At 38.3% G+C, this 15,561-nt stretch overlaps 1 protein-coding gene and 1 long non-coding RNA gene across 7 annotated transcripts in view; both read left to right on the top strand.

Annotated features, from left to right (window-relative positions):
* The window catches only part of CBR4 (carbonyl reductase 4), a 115,770-nt gene that overhangs the window by 35,328 nt on the left and 64,881 nt on the right, over positions 1 to 15,561 (top strand). The window lies entirely within an intron of this gene.
* Positions 7,990 to 12,403, top strand: LOC107986200 (uncharacterized). The gene is made up of 2 exons (XR_001741450.1): positions 7,990 to 8,035; positions 12,309 to 12,403. It is a non-coding gene; the product is annotated as an uncharacterized LOC107986200 (long non-coding RNA).

Genomic DNA, 15,561 nt, shown 5'->3' with positions numbered 1-15,561 from the left:
AAACCAAGAATAAATCTCTGAATTGCCAGAAAAAGAATTCAAAAGGTTGATTATTTAAGCTACTCAAGGAGATACCAGAGGAAGGTGAAAACCGACTTAAAGAAATTAAAAAAAAATAAAGGATATGGAAGAAACAGTCTCCAGAGAAATAGATATCATAAAGAAAAGACAATCATAATCTGGAAATGAAACAGACACTTAGTGAAATGCTAAATACAGTGGAAAGTTTCAGCAATAGAATTGCACAAATAGAAGAAAACATAAGAGCCCAAAGACCAGGCTTTTGAATTAACCCAATCCAACAAAGACAAAAGAGAATAAAAAAAATGAACAAAGCCTCCAAGAAATTTGGGAATTATGTTAAATGACCAAATCTAAGAATAATTGGTGTTCCTGAGGAATAAGAGAAATCTAAAAGTTTGGAAAACTTATTTGAGGGAACAATCAAGGAAAACTTCCCTGGTCTTGCCAGAGATCTAGACATCTAAATACAAGAACCTCAAAGAACACCTGGAAAATTCTTCACAAAACATCATCACCTAGGCACATGGTCATCAGGTTATCAAAAGTCAAGATGAAGTAAAGAATCTCAAGAGCTGTGAAGCAAAAGCATCAGGTAATCTATAAAGGAAAACCTATCGGATTTCCAGCAGTTTTCTCAGCAGAAACCCTGCAAGGCAGAAGTGATTGGGGTCCTCTCTTTAGCCTCTCTTCAGCCAAGAATTTTGTATCTAGTGAAACTAAGCTTCATAAATGAAAGAGAGATAAAGTCTTTTTCAGACAAAGAAATGCTGAGCGAATTCGCCACTACCAAGCCAGCATTACAAGAAATGCTGAAAGGAGTCCTAAATCTTGAAAGAAAATCTTGAAATACACCAAAATAGAACCTCCTTAAAGCATAAATCTCACAGGATCTATAAAACAATAACACAATGAAAAAAAGCCCAAGGTATTCAGGCAACAACTAGCATGATGAATAGAATAGTACCTTACATCTCAATACTAAAGTTGACTATAAATGGTGTAAATGGTCCACTTAAAAGATACAGAATGGCAGAATGGATAAAGATCATTCAAGACTACTATGAACACCTTTATGCACACAAACTAGAAAACCTAGAGGAGATAGATACATTCCTGGAAATATACAACCCTCGTAGATTAAACCAGGAAGAAACAAATTCTGAACAGACCGATAACAAGTAGCGAGATTAAGAGTAATTAAAAAATCGCCAACAATGAAAGGCTAGGACCAGATGGATTCATGACTGAATTCTATCAACATTCAAAGAAGAATTGGGGCTGGGTGTGGTGGCTCACGCCTGTAATCCCAGCACTTTGGGAGGCCAAGGCAGGTGGATCACCTGAGGTCAGGAGTTTGAGACCAACCTGACCAACATGGTGAAACCCCATCTCTACGAAACATACAAAAATTAGCTGGATGTGGTGGCAGGTGCCTGTAATCCCAGCTACTTGGGAGGCTGAGGCAGGAGAATTGCTTGAATCCAGGAGGTGGAGGTTGCAGTGAGCTGAGATCACACCATTGGATTCCATCACAGGCAACAAGAAAAGAATTGGTACCAATCCTACTGAAACTATTCCAAAAGATAAAGAGAGAATCCTCCCTAAATCATTCTATGAAGCCAGTATTACCCATATACCAAAACTAGGAAGGAACATAACAAAAACAACAAAAAAACTACATATCAATATCCCCAATAAACATAGATGCAAAACTCCACAACAAAATACTAGCTAACTGAATTCAACAATATATTAAGGATAATGCACCATGATCAAGTGTATTTCATGATGGGGACGCAAGGTTGGTGTAACATACACAAGCCAATAGATGCAATACACCACATAAACAGAAGTAAAAACAAAGATAATGATCATCCCAATAGATGCAGAAAAAGCATTTGACAAAATCCAGCAGCTTTTTATGAGTAAAACCCTCAGCAAAATCGGTACAGAAGGAACATACCTTAAGGTAATAAAAGCCATCTATGACAAGCTCACAACCAACATTATACTGAATGGGGAAGCGTTTAAAGTATTTCCTTTAAGAACTGAAACAAGACAAGGATGCCCACTTTCACTACTTCTATTCAACACAGTACTAGGAGTCCTAGCCAGAGCAATCAGACAAGAGAAAGAAAGGGCATCCACATTGGTAAAGAGGAAGTCAAACTGTCACCGTTTGCTGATGATATGATCGTATACCTAGAAAACCCTAAAGACTCATTTGGAAAGCTTCTAGATCTGATAATGAACTCAGTAAAGTTTCAGGATACAAAATCAGTATATACAAATAAATATCACTGCTATACACCAACAGCAACCAAGCTGAGAATCAAATCAAGAACTTAACCCCTTTTACAACAGCTGCAAAGAAAATAAAATATTTAGGAATATACCTAACCAAGGAAGTATAAGATCTCTACAAGGAAAACTACAAAACACTGCTGAAAGAAATCATAGATGACACAAACGAATGGAAACACATCCCATGCTCATGGCTGTGTAGAATCAATATTGTGAAAATGACCATATTGCCAAAAGCAATCTATAAGTTCAATGCAATTCCTGCCATAATATCATCACCATTCTTTACAGAACTAGAAAAAGCAATCCTAAAATTCATGTGGAACCGAAAAAGAGCCTGCATAGTCAAAACAAGACTAAGCAAAAAGAACAAATCTGGAGGCATCACATTACCCGACTTCAAACTATACTACAGGCTATACTTATCAAATAGCATGATACTGGTATAAATATAGACCAATGGAACAGAATAGAGAAGCCAGAAATAAAGCCAGATACTTAATAGCCAACTGATCTTTGACAAAGCAAATGAAAACATAAAGTGGGGGAAAGCACACCCTATTCAACAAATGGTGCTGAGATAATTGGCAAGCCACATGTGGAAGAATGAAACTGGGTTCTCATCTCTCACCTTATACAAAAATCAATTCAAGATGAATCAAAGACTTAAATCTAAGACCCAAAACCATAAAAGTTCTAGAAGATAACACTGGAAAAACTCATGTAGACCTTGGCCTAAAGAGTTCATGGCCAAGGACCAAAATGCAAATGCAACAAAAACAAAGATAAATAGATGGGATTTAATTAAACTAAAAAGCTTCTGCACAGCAAAAGAAATAATCAGCAGCGTAAACAACTCACAGAGTGGGAGAAAATATTCAGAAACTATCCATCTGACAAAGGGCTAATATTTAGAATCTACAGGAACTCAAATCAGCAAGAAAAAAACAAATAATCCTATCATAAAGTGGGCTGAGGACATGAGTAGACAATTATCACAAGAAGATACACAAATGGGCCAGGTGCAGTGGCCCATGCCTCTAATCCCAGCACTTTGGGAGGCCAAGGCTGGTGGATCGCTTGAGGTCAGGAGTTCGAGACCAGGGCCAACATGGTGAAACCCTGTCTCTACTAAAAATACAAAAAAAAAAAAAAAAAAAAAATGAGCTGGGCATGGTGGTGTGTGCCTGTGATCCCAGCTACTCGGGAGGCTGAGGTTGGGAGGATTGCTTGAACCTGGGAAGCAGAGGTTGCAGTGAGCCAGGGTTGCACCACTGCACTCCAGCCTGGGTGACAAAGTGAGACCCTGTCTCAAAAAAGATAAAAAATAAGATATACAAGTGGCCAAGAAACATATGAAAAAATGCTCAACATCACTAATTATCAGGGAAATGCAAATCGAAACCACAATGTGATACCACCTTATTCCTACAAGAATGGCCATAATTAAAAAATAAAAAAATAATAGATGTTGGCATAGATATGGTGAAAAGGAAACAGTTTTACACTGCTGGTGGGAATGTAAACTAGTACAACCACTATGGAAAACAGTATGGAGATTCTTTAAAGAACCAAAAGCTACCATTTGATCCAGCAATCCCGCTCCTGGGTATCTACCCAGAGGAAAAGAAGTCATTTTATGAAAAAGACACATGCACACGCATGTTTATAGCAGCACAATTCACAATTGCAAAAATCTGGAACCAGCCTAAATGCCCATCAACCAACGAGTAGATGAAGAAAATGTGGTATATATATATATATATCATGGACTACTACTCAGCCATAAAAAGGAATGAAATAACAGCATTCGCAGCAACCTGGATAAAGCTGGAGATTGTTAGTCTAAGTGAAGTAACTCAGGAATGGAAAACCAAACATCATATGTTCTCACTTATGAGTGGGAGCAAAGGCATTAGGAATGACATAATGGACTCTGGGGCCTTGCAGGGAAGGGTGGGAGGGGGGTGAGGGACAAAAGACTACACACTGGGTGCAGTGTACACTGCTCAGGTGATGGATACATCAAAATCTCAGAAATCACACCTAAATAACTTATCCATGTAACCAAATACCACCTGTTCCTTAAAAAATTGAAATAATAATAATTTGAAAAAAATAGTCTATTCAAAAAAAATGTTCTTTTGTGGATTGATGAGGACATAAAACAAAAATCAGGTAGGGAAGAAATTGAAATTGGTTCTTCACATGATACACAAAGGTAAATTCCAGATGGAAAAAAGTACTTAAATATCAAAATAAAATGCTTGGTAGAACATATGGAAGTGAATATTTTTCTGATTCTGGGGTGTGGCGGGAATTCTTAAACATAAAAAAGAAAAGTTTGGTCAAATTGACTATATTAAAATTAAGTCCTTTTATTTATCAAAAAAATCCCTTAAAGATAGCAAAGACTGATTACAAACTGATAAAAAGTTTATGCAATATAGATAACTAATAAAGAGTCAGTATCAAGAATATATAATGCAACAATAAATCAATAAGGATAACCCGTTAGGAAAATGGGCAAAAGATAAAAAACAGGCGTTTCATAGAAGAGGAAACACATAGCCAGCATGTGTTGAACCTGTGTTCACACTAGAGATATGCAAATCAAGACCACATGAAATTTCGTTGACATTTGAGTGGCAAAAATTAATAAGTCTGATAATATCAATTGATATAGGGCAGGCCTTCTCCAACATCAGCAGGAATTACCTATGAATCTTTTTTTAAATGCATCATTTGATTTAGTAGATTTGGAGTGGGGCCTGAGATGCTGTATTTCTAACAGATTTCCAAGTGATGCTGATTCCACTGGTCTGTGGACTACAATTTCAGTTGCAAAGTTGAAGAGTATGTAGATCAGCGGGATCTCTTAAATATGAGAGGTCCGTTTTTGTTGTTGTTGCTGTTAGCCGGCAGCCAGTCTTTGCTTCTAGAGGCTGCCTGCATTCCTTCTCATGTTTCCATGGGCAACATGGAGGCTCAGTCCACTAGCAGTGGCAGGTTGAGTCCCACTCATGCTTTGAATCTGTTGAACTCTATCCTTCTGCTGCTGTTTTCTGACCAGCTAGAAAAAATTTCTTTGCTTTTAAGGGTTCATGTGATTATACTGGGTCTAGCCAGATTATCCAGGATAATCTATATTTTGAAGTGTATAACCTTAGTTATATTTGCAAAATCCCATGAGCCATGTCACGTAAAATTCACAGGATCCAAGGATTAGAGAATAGGCATCTCTAGGGGGATCATTCTGTTTACCGTAATGAAAAATTATGATCTTTTGCTCAGTTCCCAGACTTGGACCAGTTCTCTGATCCAGACCTAATCAATTGAAGGGTCTCCTTCATGAAGAACCCTGCAATAATACAGCAAATGTACACAGAGCAGCTGTCCAACCTTTCTCAAAGGAATCTATGCTCACTTGTCCAAGTAACAGTACACTGGAGAAAGGAATCTAACCAGGTGTTTCAAAGATTCTTGGGAATACAGTCAAGCTAACATTGTTGCTTGGGTACCCAAAACACCACAGTGGCTCTGATGTTAATGGGAGCATGTGGAGATGGGGTAATGAATGGAGTGCTGGCCCAAATCTGTTTTACACTTCGGTCCACTGTGTCCCTAGACATACTCTGTGGTCATTTTCCCACTTCCTGAATGCATAATCAGCATGGACATATTTAATAACAGGCAGAACCATCACACTGGTTCTTTGACTTATGGAGAGAGAATTATCATGGTAGGAAAAGACAAATAGAAACCACTGACCCTTCTCTTTCTCTGCAAGATAGTAAATCGGAAATAATACTATATCCTGGTAGAATGGCAGAGATTAATGTCAGTCTCAGTGACTTAATGGCTGAAGTGTGGTGATTCCTATCATATTCCTACTTAATTAATGAGACTGTCCTTGCAAAGGACTGATGGAATGTGCTAGGTGATGGTAAACTATTACAGTACATTCAATCAAGCAATTTCCTGGCCACAGCTGCTATACCAGAAACGGTATCTTGACTAGATGAGATGAACACAGCCTGTGGTACTTCATAAGCAACTATTGACATGGAGAGTGCATTCTTTCAGTTCCTGCCTGACAGGAAAGAGAATCAGAAGGAGTTCACATTCACTTGGAATTGACAAAAGTATACATTTATGGTTGTGCCCTAGGGCTGTATCAACTCTTCTGCCCTCTGTCACAGTATAGTCCAAAGGGACCTTGATTGCCTGGACGTTCAGTGAAACATCATGATCCACTCTACTGATGATAGCATGTTAGTCAGTAACACACTTTGGCAATGCCCTACAAACCTTTTCTCCCTTGCATTTTTATTACACTTGTTTGGTAAAACCATAATTTACATGATAAACTTTTGATTTTGTTCCTGTAGAAAATATAAGGGCTATGTTAGAAAGTCATAAAAAAGGGCAGTTTGGTTTTATGCTAAATTCACGATTACCAACCTCAAATGATGACTTTTATTTTCTCTAAGAAATTACTTGGCTGGCTTTTGGTGTGGCAAAGGAAAGGCACTAGTGTTTGAGGAGAGTAGAGGAGGTTTGAATTTGTCATTATGGAAAGTGAGAGAGTGAGGTGGTTAGAAGAGAGTATAAAGATCAGGTAGTGTTGAGGGCCGTCTTTGGAGATGAGCTACCACAACAGTTGAGGCATGGAGTATCCTATAATCATGTTTCCTCCCATACTCATTTTTGGAGATTTCCTGGCATTAATAATTGCTTTGTTTTATATTTGTGTAGTTTGAAATGTGTCTATTATTATTCTGTCTTCAAACTCAACAGCACTCTAGAATTTCTCTCAATACCATGGTCTATCAGTTTTTGTTTGTTTGAGATACACTTTTTAGTACCCCCTCTTGCCTACTCCCCATCCACCTGCTCCAGTACAGACTGAATGGCTTTTAGTGTGCTGCACAATTTTTAAAGTGGGACTTTCCTTCACCACCATCCTAGAAATTTCTTTTGGCTTATTTCTGTTTTCAATGACCTGTTTCCTAGGTAGCAGAGACTGCTGGTTGTTTTCCAAGGTCCATTATTCCTTTCCTTCATAATAATAGAACTCCCTGTTTTTTTAAAATTATACTTTAAGTTCTAGGGTACATGTGCACAATGTGCAGATTTGTTACATAGGTATACATGTGCCATGTTGGTTTGCTGGACGCATCAACTCGTCATTTACATTAGGTATTTCTCCTAATGCTATCCTTTCCCCAGCCCCCAACCCCCTGACAGGCCCCGATGTGTAATGTTCCCCGCCCTGTGTCCATGTATTCTCATTGTTCAACTCCCACCTATGAGTGAGAACATGCGGTGTTTGGTTTGCTGTCCTTGTAATAGTTTGCTTAGAATGATGGTTTCCAGCTTCATCAATGTCCCTGCAAAGGACATGAACTCATCCTTTTTTATGGCTGCATAGTATTACATGGTGTATATGTGCCACATTTTCTTAATCTACTCTATCATTGATGGACATTTGGGTTGGGTCCAAGTCTTTGCTACTGTGAACAGTGCCGCAATAAACATATGTGTGCATGTGTCTTTATAGTAGCGTGATTTTTTTTTTTTTTTAGATGGAGTTTTGCTCCATTGCCCAGGCTGGAGTGCAGTGGCGCAATCTGGACTCGCTGCAAGCTCGGCCTCCCGGGTTGCCATTCTCCTGCCTCAGCCTCCTGAGTAGCTGGGACTACAGGTACCTGCCACCACACCCGGCTAGTTTTTTGTATTTTTAGTAGGCACTGGGTTTCATCGTGTTAGCCAGGATGGTCTTGATCTCCTGACCTTGTGATCCGCCCGCCTCGGCCTCCCAAAGTGCTGGGATTACAGGCGTGAGCCACTGTGCCCGGCCCTGTAGTAGCATGATTTATAATCCTTTGGGTATAATGTAATGGGATTGCTGGGTCAAATGGAATTTCTGGTTCTAGATCCTTGAGTCGCCACATTGTCTTCCACAATGGTTGAAGGAATTTACACACCCACCAACAGTGTAAAAGAGTTCTTATTTTTCCACATCCTCTCCAGCATCTGTTTCCTGGCTTTTTTCTTTTTTTTTTTCTTTGAGACGGAGTCTCGCTCTGTCGTCCAGGCTGAAAGGCAGTGGTGCGATCTCGGCTCACTGCAAGCTCCACCTCCCGGGTTCACACCATTCTCCTGCCTCAGCCTCCCGAGTAGCTGGGACTACAGGCATCTGCCACCACGCCTGGCCTTTTTTTTTTTTTTTTTTTTTTTGTATTTTTAGTAGAGATGGGGTTTCACCTGTTAGCCAGGATGGTCTTGATCTCCTGACCTCGTGGTCCGCCCTCCTCGGCCTCCCAAAGTGCTAGGATTACAGTCGTGAGCCACGTTTCCTGACTTTTTAATGATCGCCATTCTAACTGGCATGAGATGGTATTTCATTGTGGTTTTGATTTGCATTTCTCTGATGACCAGTGATGATGAACATTTTTTTCGTATGTTTGTTGGCTGCATAAATGTCTTCTTTTGAGAAGTGTCTGTTAATATCCTTTGCCCACTTTCTGATATGGTTGTTTTTTTCTTCTAAATTTGTTTAAGTTCTTTGTAGATTCTGGATATTAGCCCTTTGTCAGATGGGTAGATTGCAGATATTTTCTCCCATTCTGTAGGTTGCCTGTTCACTCTGATGATAGTTTCTTTTGCTGTGCAGAAGCTCTTTAATTAGATCCCATTTGTCTATTTTGGCTTTTGTTGCCATTGCTTTTGGTGTTCCAGTCATGAATTCTTTGCCCATGTCTATGTCCTGAATGGTATTGCCTAGGTTTTCTTCTAGGGTTTTTATGGTGTTAGGTTTTATATTCAAGTCTTTAATCCATCTTGAGTTAATTTTTGTATACGGTGTAAGGAAAGGATCCAGTTTCAGCTTTCTACATATGGCTAGCCAGTTTTCCCAGCACAATTTATTAAATAGGGAATCCTTTCCTCGTTGCTTGTTTTTGTCAGGTTTGTCAAAGATCAGATGGTTGTAGATGTGTGGTGTTATTTCTGAGGCCTCTGTTCTGTTCCATTGGTCTATATATCTGTTTTGGTACCAGTACCATGCTGTTTTGGTTACTGTAGCCTTGTAGTATAGTTTGAAGTCAGGTAGTATGATGCCTCCAGCTTTGTTCTTTTTGCTTAGGATTGTCTTGGCTATGTGGGCTCTTTTTTGGTTCCATATGAAGTTTAAAGTAGTTTTTTCTAATTCTGTGAAGTAAGTCAGTGGTAGCTTGATGGGGATAGCATTAAATCTATAAATTACCTTGGGCAGTATGGCCATTTTCACGATATTGATTCTTCATGAGAATGGAATGTTTTTACATTTGTTTGTGTCCTCTTTTATTTTGTTGAGCAGTGGTTTGTAGTTCTCCTTGAAGAGGTCCTTCACGTTCATTGTAAGTTGTATTCCTAGGTATTTTATTCTCTTTGTAGTAATTGTGAATGGGAGTTCACTCATGATTTGGCTGTTTGTCTATTATTGGTGTATAGGAATGCTTATGATTTTTGCACATTGATTTTGTATCCTGAGACTTTGCTGAAGTTGCTGAAGTCAGCTTAAGGAGATTGGGGGCTGAGATGATGGGGTTTCTAAATATACAGTCATGTCATCTGCAAAGTTTTAGTTTGATACATGGATACCAAAACAAAAACAAAAAACATGTCCCAAACTGCCTTAAAGCTAAGTGTGGCTATGTGACTGAAAGCTGACCAATGAAATATAAGCCTTAGAGTCTGGTTCATGGTAACTCAAAGTGCTGAACACAGTGATCTACACATACTTGCACAATAAATATTTGTTGACTTACTAAATCAATGTTTCTTCAACCTTGGAGACCCTTCTTTCCTGACAGAGCTTTTCTTGCTTATTGAAATCTTAGTTTTCAAGGCTACTCTCAAATACCATATCATCCAAGAAGTTTTCCTTGTCCTCTCCTCCATTAGAGTTATTTCTTATATTAATGTTTATACTTCAGTTTGGGGAATTACAGCTGATACTCATTCTCTTGATAGTGACTTCTGTGTGGTTGTTATAGTGGCTGGGTTTCTTTGATATGAAGAGTATTGCATACTATTCTATGACATTTTTACCACTGCTTACCAAAGAGAGAAGGTGCATTGGCTTGTGGGGAGAAAAATACCTTTTTAGGCTTTACTTGTTTCCATTGGATTGTGTGTTTCGATTGAAGGTCGTCTTTATTTTTTATTTTCCTTGCCTTGCTCTGTGTCTGGCATTATGACATAAGAAAATCAATTGATTTTGACAAAACTTAGTGGCCTCAAGAAAGCTGAGGTTAAAGGGAAGAGAGTTTGAGAGAACATATGCATACTCAGACCTTGGTTTTCTACAACAGCCTAAATTTTAACCAGACAGTTGTCTAATCATGCAACACAAGCAAGGGGAGTGTAGTTGAATGATATTGTCAGAGTATTGTTCTGTGATGGCTCAGATGCCATTTCCACAGAAATATACCTGCTTGCTTGATCATGCTGGTCAGAGCAAAATTTCCCACGTGCTGGATGCCATTTATGCATTTAGCTTGATGGGTTACTATACTACTGATGATCTATATTTCCTGTCAGTTGCATTTTAGTTATTCCATCCTGGGAATACTGCCATTCATTGTGATTGGATTTGGATGTTCCCCAACTGTTCTTGGGCATGACATTAAAAAAAAAGGTTTTTGAACAACCAGCTAATCTTTATTGTGCATGGAGACACAGTAATTATACTCCCATAGGCGCTTTTTGTTTCTTTGGTCTTGGAGCATCCCTCAGCAACCTATTCTGTGGCTGATGGTACAGTAGCTATTAATAGTTTATACAGGAGGTTGGGCGCGGTGGCTCATGCCTCCCACCACTTTGGGAGGCTGAGGTGGGCAGATCACCAGAGGTAAGGAGTTCGAGACCAGCCTGGCCAACATGGTGAAACCCTGTCTCTCCTAAAAATACAAAAATAGCTGGGCATGGCGGTGGGCACCTGTAATCCCAGCTATTTGGGAGGCTGAGGTAGGAGAACTGCTTGAACCCAGTAGGCGAAGGTTGCAGTGAGCTGAGATCACACCATAGGACTCTAGGCTGGGTGACAAGAGTGAGACTCCATCTCAAAAAAAAAAAAAAAAAGATTTATACAGGAGTTTCTGAATTTGCTAATGTTCTTGGGAACTCAGGTGCTCTAATTGTCAATCCATTGTGGCATAAGACATCTGTGTTCTGTTATCTTCTCTGAATGAGTAAGTAACTCTGCTTTCAACAGTTACCCACCTTTTTGAAGAACATCTGACTAATTTATGAAGTATCTGGATTTTAAAAATTATTAGCATTTTAATTTTTCCTAGCTGAGGTGCTATGATAACATCAGGATAAAACTGGCTTTTGGCAGTCAGTTGTGCTGAAATCAACCACAATTTAAGTCAGGGCTTGACCATCCAAATCTTTCTGAGTGCTTCCTCAGTCCTTTCCGTTAGTTTCAGTGGAATGAACATGGATTTTGAAATACTGGAATTAAAATTCTGTTTTAGCACTTACAGTTTTATTTGGACAATTATTTAAACTATCTGAATGATAGGTTCCTAATGCTCAAAATGAGGAGTATACTTGTTAAAGTATAAGTGTTTGAAATACTTTGTATCTAGTAGACATTTAATACAGGTTAGTCCCCCTTCTCTTCTCTGTCTTTAAGAATTCCAAAACTGTTTTTGCCCCTTGGGTTCTATGACATCTCACTCCTGATTTTCTTCCTCTTTCTGATTTTCTTTATTGATTTCCTTTATGTGCTCCTTTACTCTGCTGGTCTCTTAGCTGTTGATTTCTCAAAGTTCTGTCCTGGGCTGTCTTCTTATTCAACACGTTTCCATTAGCAATCTAGATACTTTTTATAAAAATGCTTATAATATCCAAGTATATCTTCACTTTAGCTTTTTTTATAGTTTGGATTCATATATTTAACTGTATTTTTCTTGAATATCCTACAGATTCCTCAAATCCAACATGTACAAAATGGAACTCATCATCTTTCTCTACCAACCAGCAATTCTTCTGTGTTCTTAATCTTAATATTCACTCTCAATTATTTAGTGGATCAAGCCAGAGACCTGAGTATTATCCTCAAGTCTTTCTTCTCTTCCATCCCGTACATTTACTCATTAATCATATCTTATTAAGCCTAATTTCCAAGCAACCTTGAGTTCTTCTAACCCCTTCCATCCTGATATCCATTGACGTGGTCCAGACTTGGAAAAGTATATCAGCAGTAAATCAGAATGCCTACTTTATAACATCTCCACCTGTCTTGAGTTATAAAAACACTTTGCTGTGAATGTAATATATGGTTGTGTATTTTCCATAAAATATTTCGCTTTCAAGAAGGGGAGAGAGTAGAAAAAAAAATCCTTAGTTTTTGACTTACCTTTTAATTTTAGGATTTTATTTGAAATACATAGTAAAATGGTTTTCCTTTGTGTTTTCTTTCATTGCTGTACTCTTTCAGAGATTACCTAATTTTTAATTGTTTACATCTTTTTTCTTTTTAAAAACGTTTAACTCTTTAATATAATGGTTTTTTTTTTGGCCTGCTTGCCTTCCTCCTCTCCTTTCCTTTCCTCTCCTCTCCTCTCCTCTCCTCTCCTCTCCTCTCCTCTCCTCTCCTCTCCTGTGCTCTCCTCTTGTTCTCCCCTCCCCTCCCCTCTCCCTTCCTTTCTTTCTATGACAGAGTTTCACTCTGTTGCCCAGGCTGGAGTGCAATGGCACGATCTTGGCTCACTGTAACCTCCGCCTCCCGGGTTCAAGCAATTCTCCTGCCTCAGCTTCATGAGTAGCTGGGATTACAGGCGCCTTTCGCCATGGCCAGCTAATTTTTGTATTTTTAGTAGAGACGGGGTTTCACCATGTTGGCCTGGCTGGTCGCGAACTCCTGACCTCAGGTGACCCACCTGCCTTGGCCTCCCAAAGTGCTGGGATTACAGGCATGAGCCACCACACCCGGTCTCTTTTTCTTTTCTTTTCTTTTAAATATAGTGTTTTTAAAGCTATTTTAGTTCATGGATCTCATGGAGAAACTGGAAACTGTGGACTTTCCACCTAGAAAAGTACACATATTGAATTTTACATTTTTAGGGGTTTCACAGTAGACAGCCAGAAACCTGTCCGTGAATGTTTTAGATTCTTTTGGATAAAGCATCTCTAAACTGTCTAGAAATTCTTTTTTGTTCATAATATAATATTCTATAGATATTGAGACAACTCTTTACATACAAGACAGAATAAATTTAGATATATATATGTAGAAAAGACATAAGATTTACAGTTTCTAACTTACTTTTCAAACACTTGGCATAGGGATGAAAACTTGGCACTTAGCTCCTTGTTTAAATCTGAATCTGCAACTGAGCAAGGTATTCATATGATTTATGTCTCAGAGTTAGTGCCAGTCATAGAAAAAAAATTTCAATAGGACAAAGAAAGCGTCAGTATCATCTCTTGCCTTTCAGTTGGTCAGTGCTGCTTTTATGCTGTTACCTAGTACCCATAACCACCGTCTTGTAATACGTGATCACTTTCTAGGCTCTAAAGTTGGCTGTCCCCATCAAATTCTCTTGTGGAATTGCTCAGCAAGCAGTTTGAGATTGGATAGAGCTCATTCAGATTTTGGTGTTCATGACTAATAATTTCGACCGGAAACAGCTTGTGCTTATAGAGTTGTGTTATTATCTAAGTTGAAATAGATGCCACCGCATACCTACCAGCATAATCTAGCAACAGGAAACATGCTCATTTTGGTAAGAGGTACTCTCTCTTCTAACATAAAGACTTTTAAATCTCAGCAAACTTATTTCTTTCTTGTGGCAATCTTGTTTTTAAGAAAGTACATGGATTTAAGAAAGTAAATATTAATATGATCACTTACACTATATTCAAGAGTAGTTTCATGTAGTACTTATTCTAATAAAGGTGTTTTTAAAAAGGAAATAGTAAATAGCATCTATACAGCATTTACTGTGTTCTTGGGTTGGAAGACTCAATATTGTTAATTGATCTGTATATCTTTTCAGTACAACTGATAGTATACAATAGTAGAAAAATGTATTTCTTCTATCTGAATGCCTCTGGTGAACTTCTCTGGATCCTTTAAGACTTCCTGAATATTTTATACATTCTCTAGTTATAGCATATACTGCATATATTAAAATGATTTACTCATTTTTCCACTAGATTGTGAGCTTATGTAGTATTTGTTATATGGTTCCATGTTTCTCCTCCCTTGTTTTGGTACTTTCAAATAATAGTAGACACTGGAGAAATGTTTACTGCGTTAAAAACAAAAACAAAAGTGGTTAACTTTGAGATAATGTGGCTATAATGTGTTTATGAAATAATAATTCCATGTAGAAATTACCCTCTTTTACCAGATAAATTGTACCAAAGACAGAGAGTTCTGCTTCTTGAATGGCAGCAAACAATAGGAAAATGGGACTAAATTCCATTTACAGTAGCATTAAAAACCATAACACTTAGGAATACATTTAACAGAAGTATAAAACCTGTATGTTGAAAATTAGGTAATATTGATGGAGAGAAATTAAAGATCTAAATAGACAAATTTACCATGTTCTTGGGTTGGAAGATTCAATATCGTTAACATGTTAGTTTTCTCTAACTTGATCTGTGTATAAATTCAGTACTATTCAAATACAAATTTCAGAAGGTTTTTTTTTTTTTTTAATAGAAATTGAGGCTGGGCGTGGTGGCTCACGCCTGTAATCCCAGAACTTTGGGAGGCCGAGGCAGGTGGATTACGAGGTCAGGAGTTTGAGACCAGCCTGACCAACAAGGTGAAACCCCATCTCTCTAAAAGTACAAAAATTAGCCGGGCATGGTGGCACATGCCTGTAATTCCAGCTACTCAGGAGGCTGAGGCAGGAGAATTGCTTGAACCCTGGAGGTGGAGATTGCAGTGAGCCGAGGTCATGCCACTGCATTCCAGCCTGGGCAACAGAGTGAGACTCTATCTCCAAAAAAAAAAAAAAAAAAAAAGAAATTGATAAGCTGATTTAAAAATTTGTGGTAATGTAAACCACCGAGATTAGCCAAAGCAGTTTTATAAAAGGTGAACAAAATTGGAGAAATTATACTACCTGATTTTAAGATGAACTATGATGTGACAGTAATCAAGACAGTGTGGTATTGGTGAAAGGATAGATATATAGATCAGTGGAACTAAAGAGAGAA

The sequence above is a fragment of the Homo sapiens genome, chromosome 4, assembly GCF_000001405.40.
Source record: "Homo sapiens chromosome 4, GRCh38.p14 Primary Assembly".
In the NCBI taxonomy this organism is placed as follows: Eukaryota; Metazoa; Chordata; class Mammalia; order Primates; family Hominidae; genus Homo; species Homo sapiens.
The sequence above is the reverse complement of the archived record's forward strand: the minus strand, read 5'-3'. Positions and strand labels throughout refer to the sequence as shown.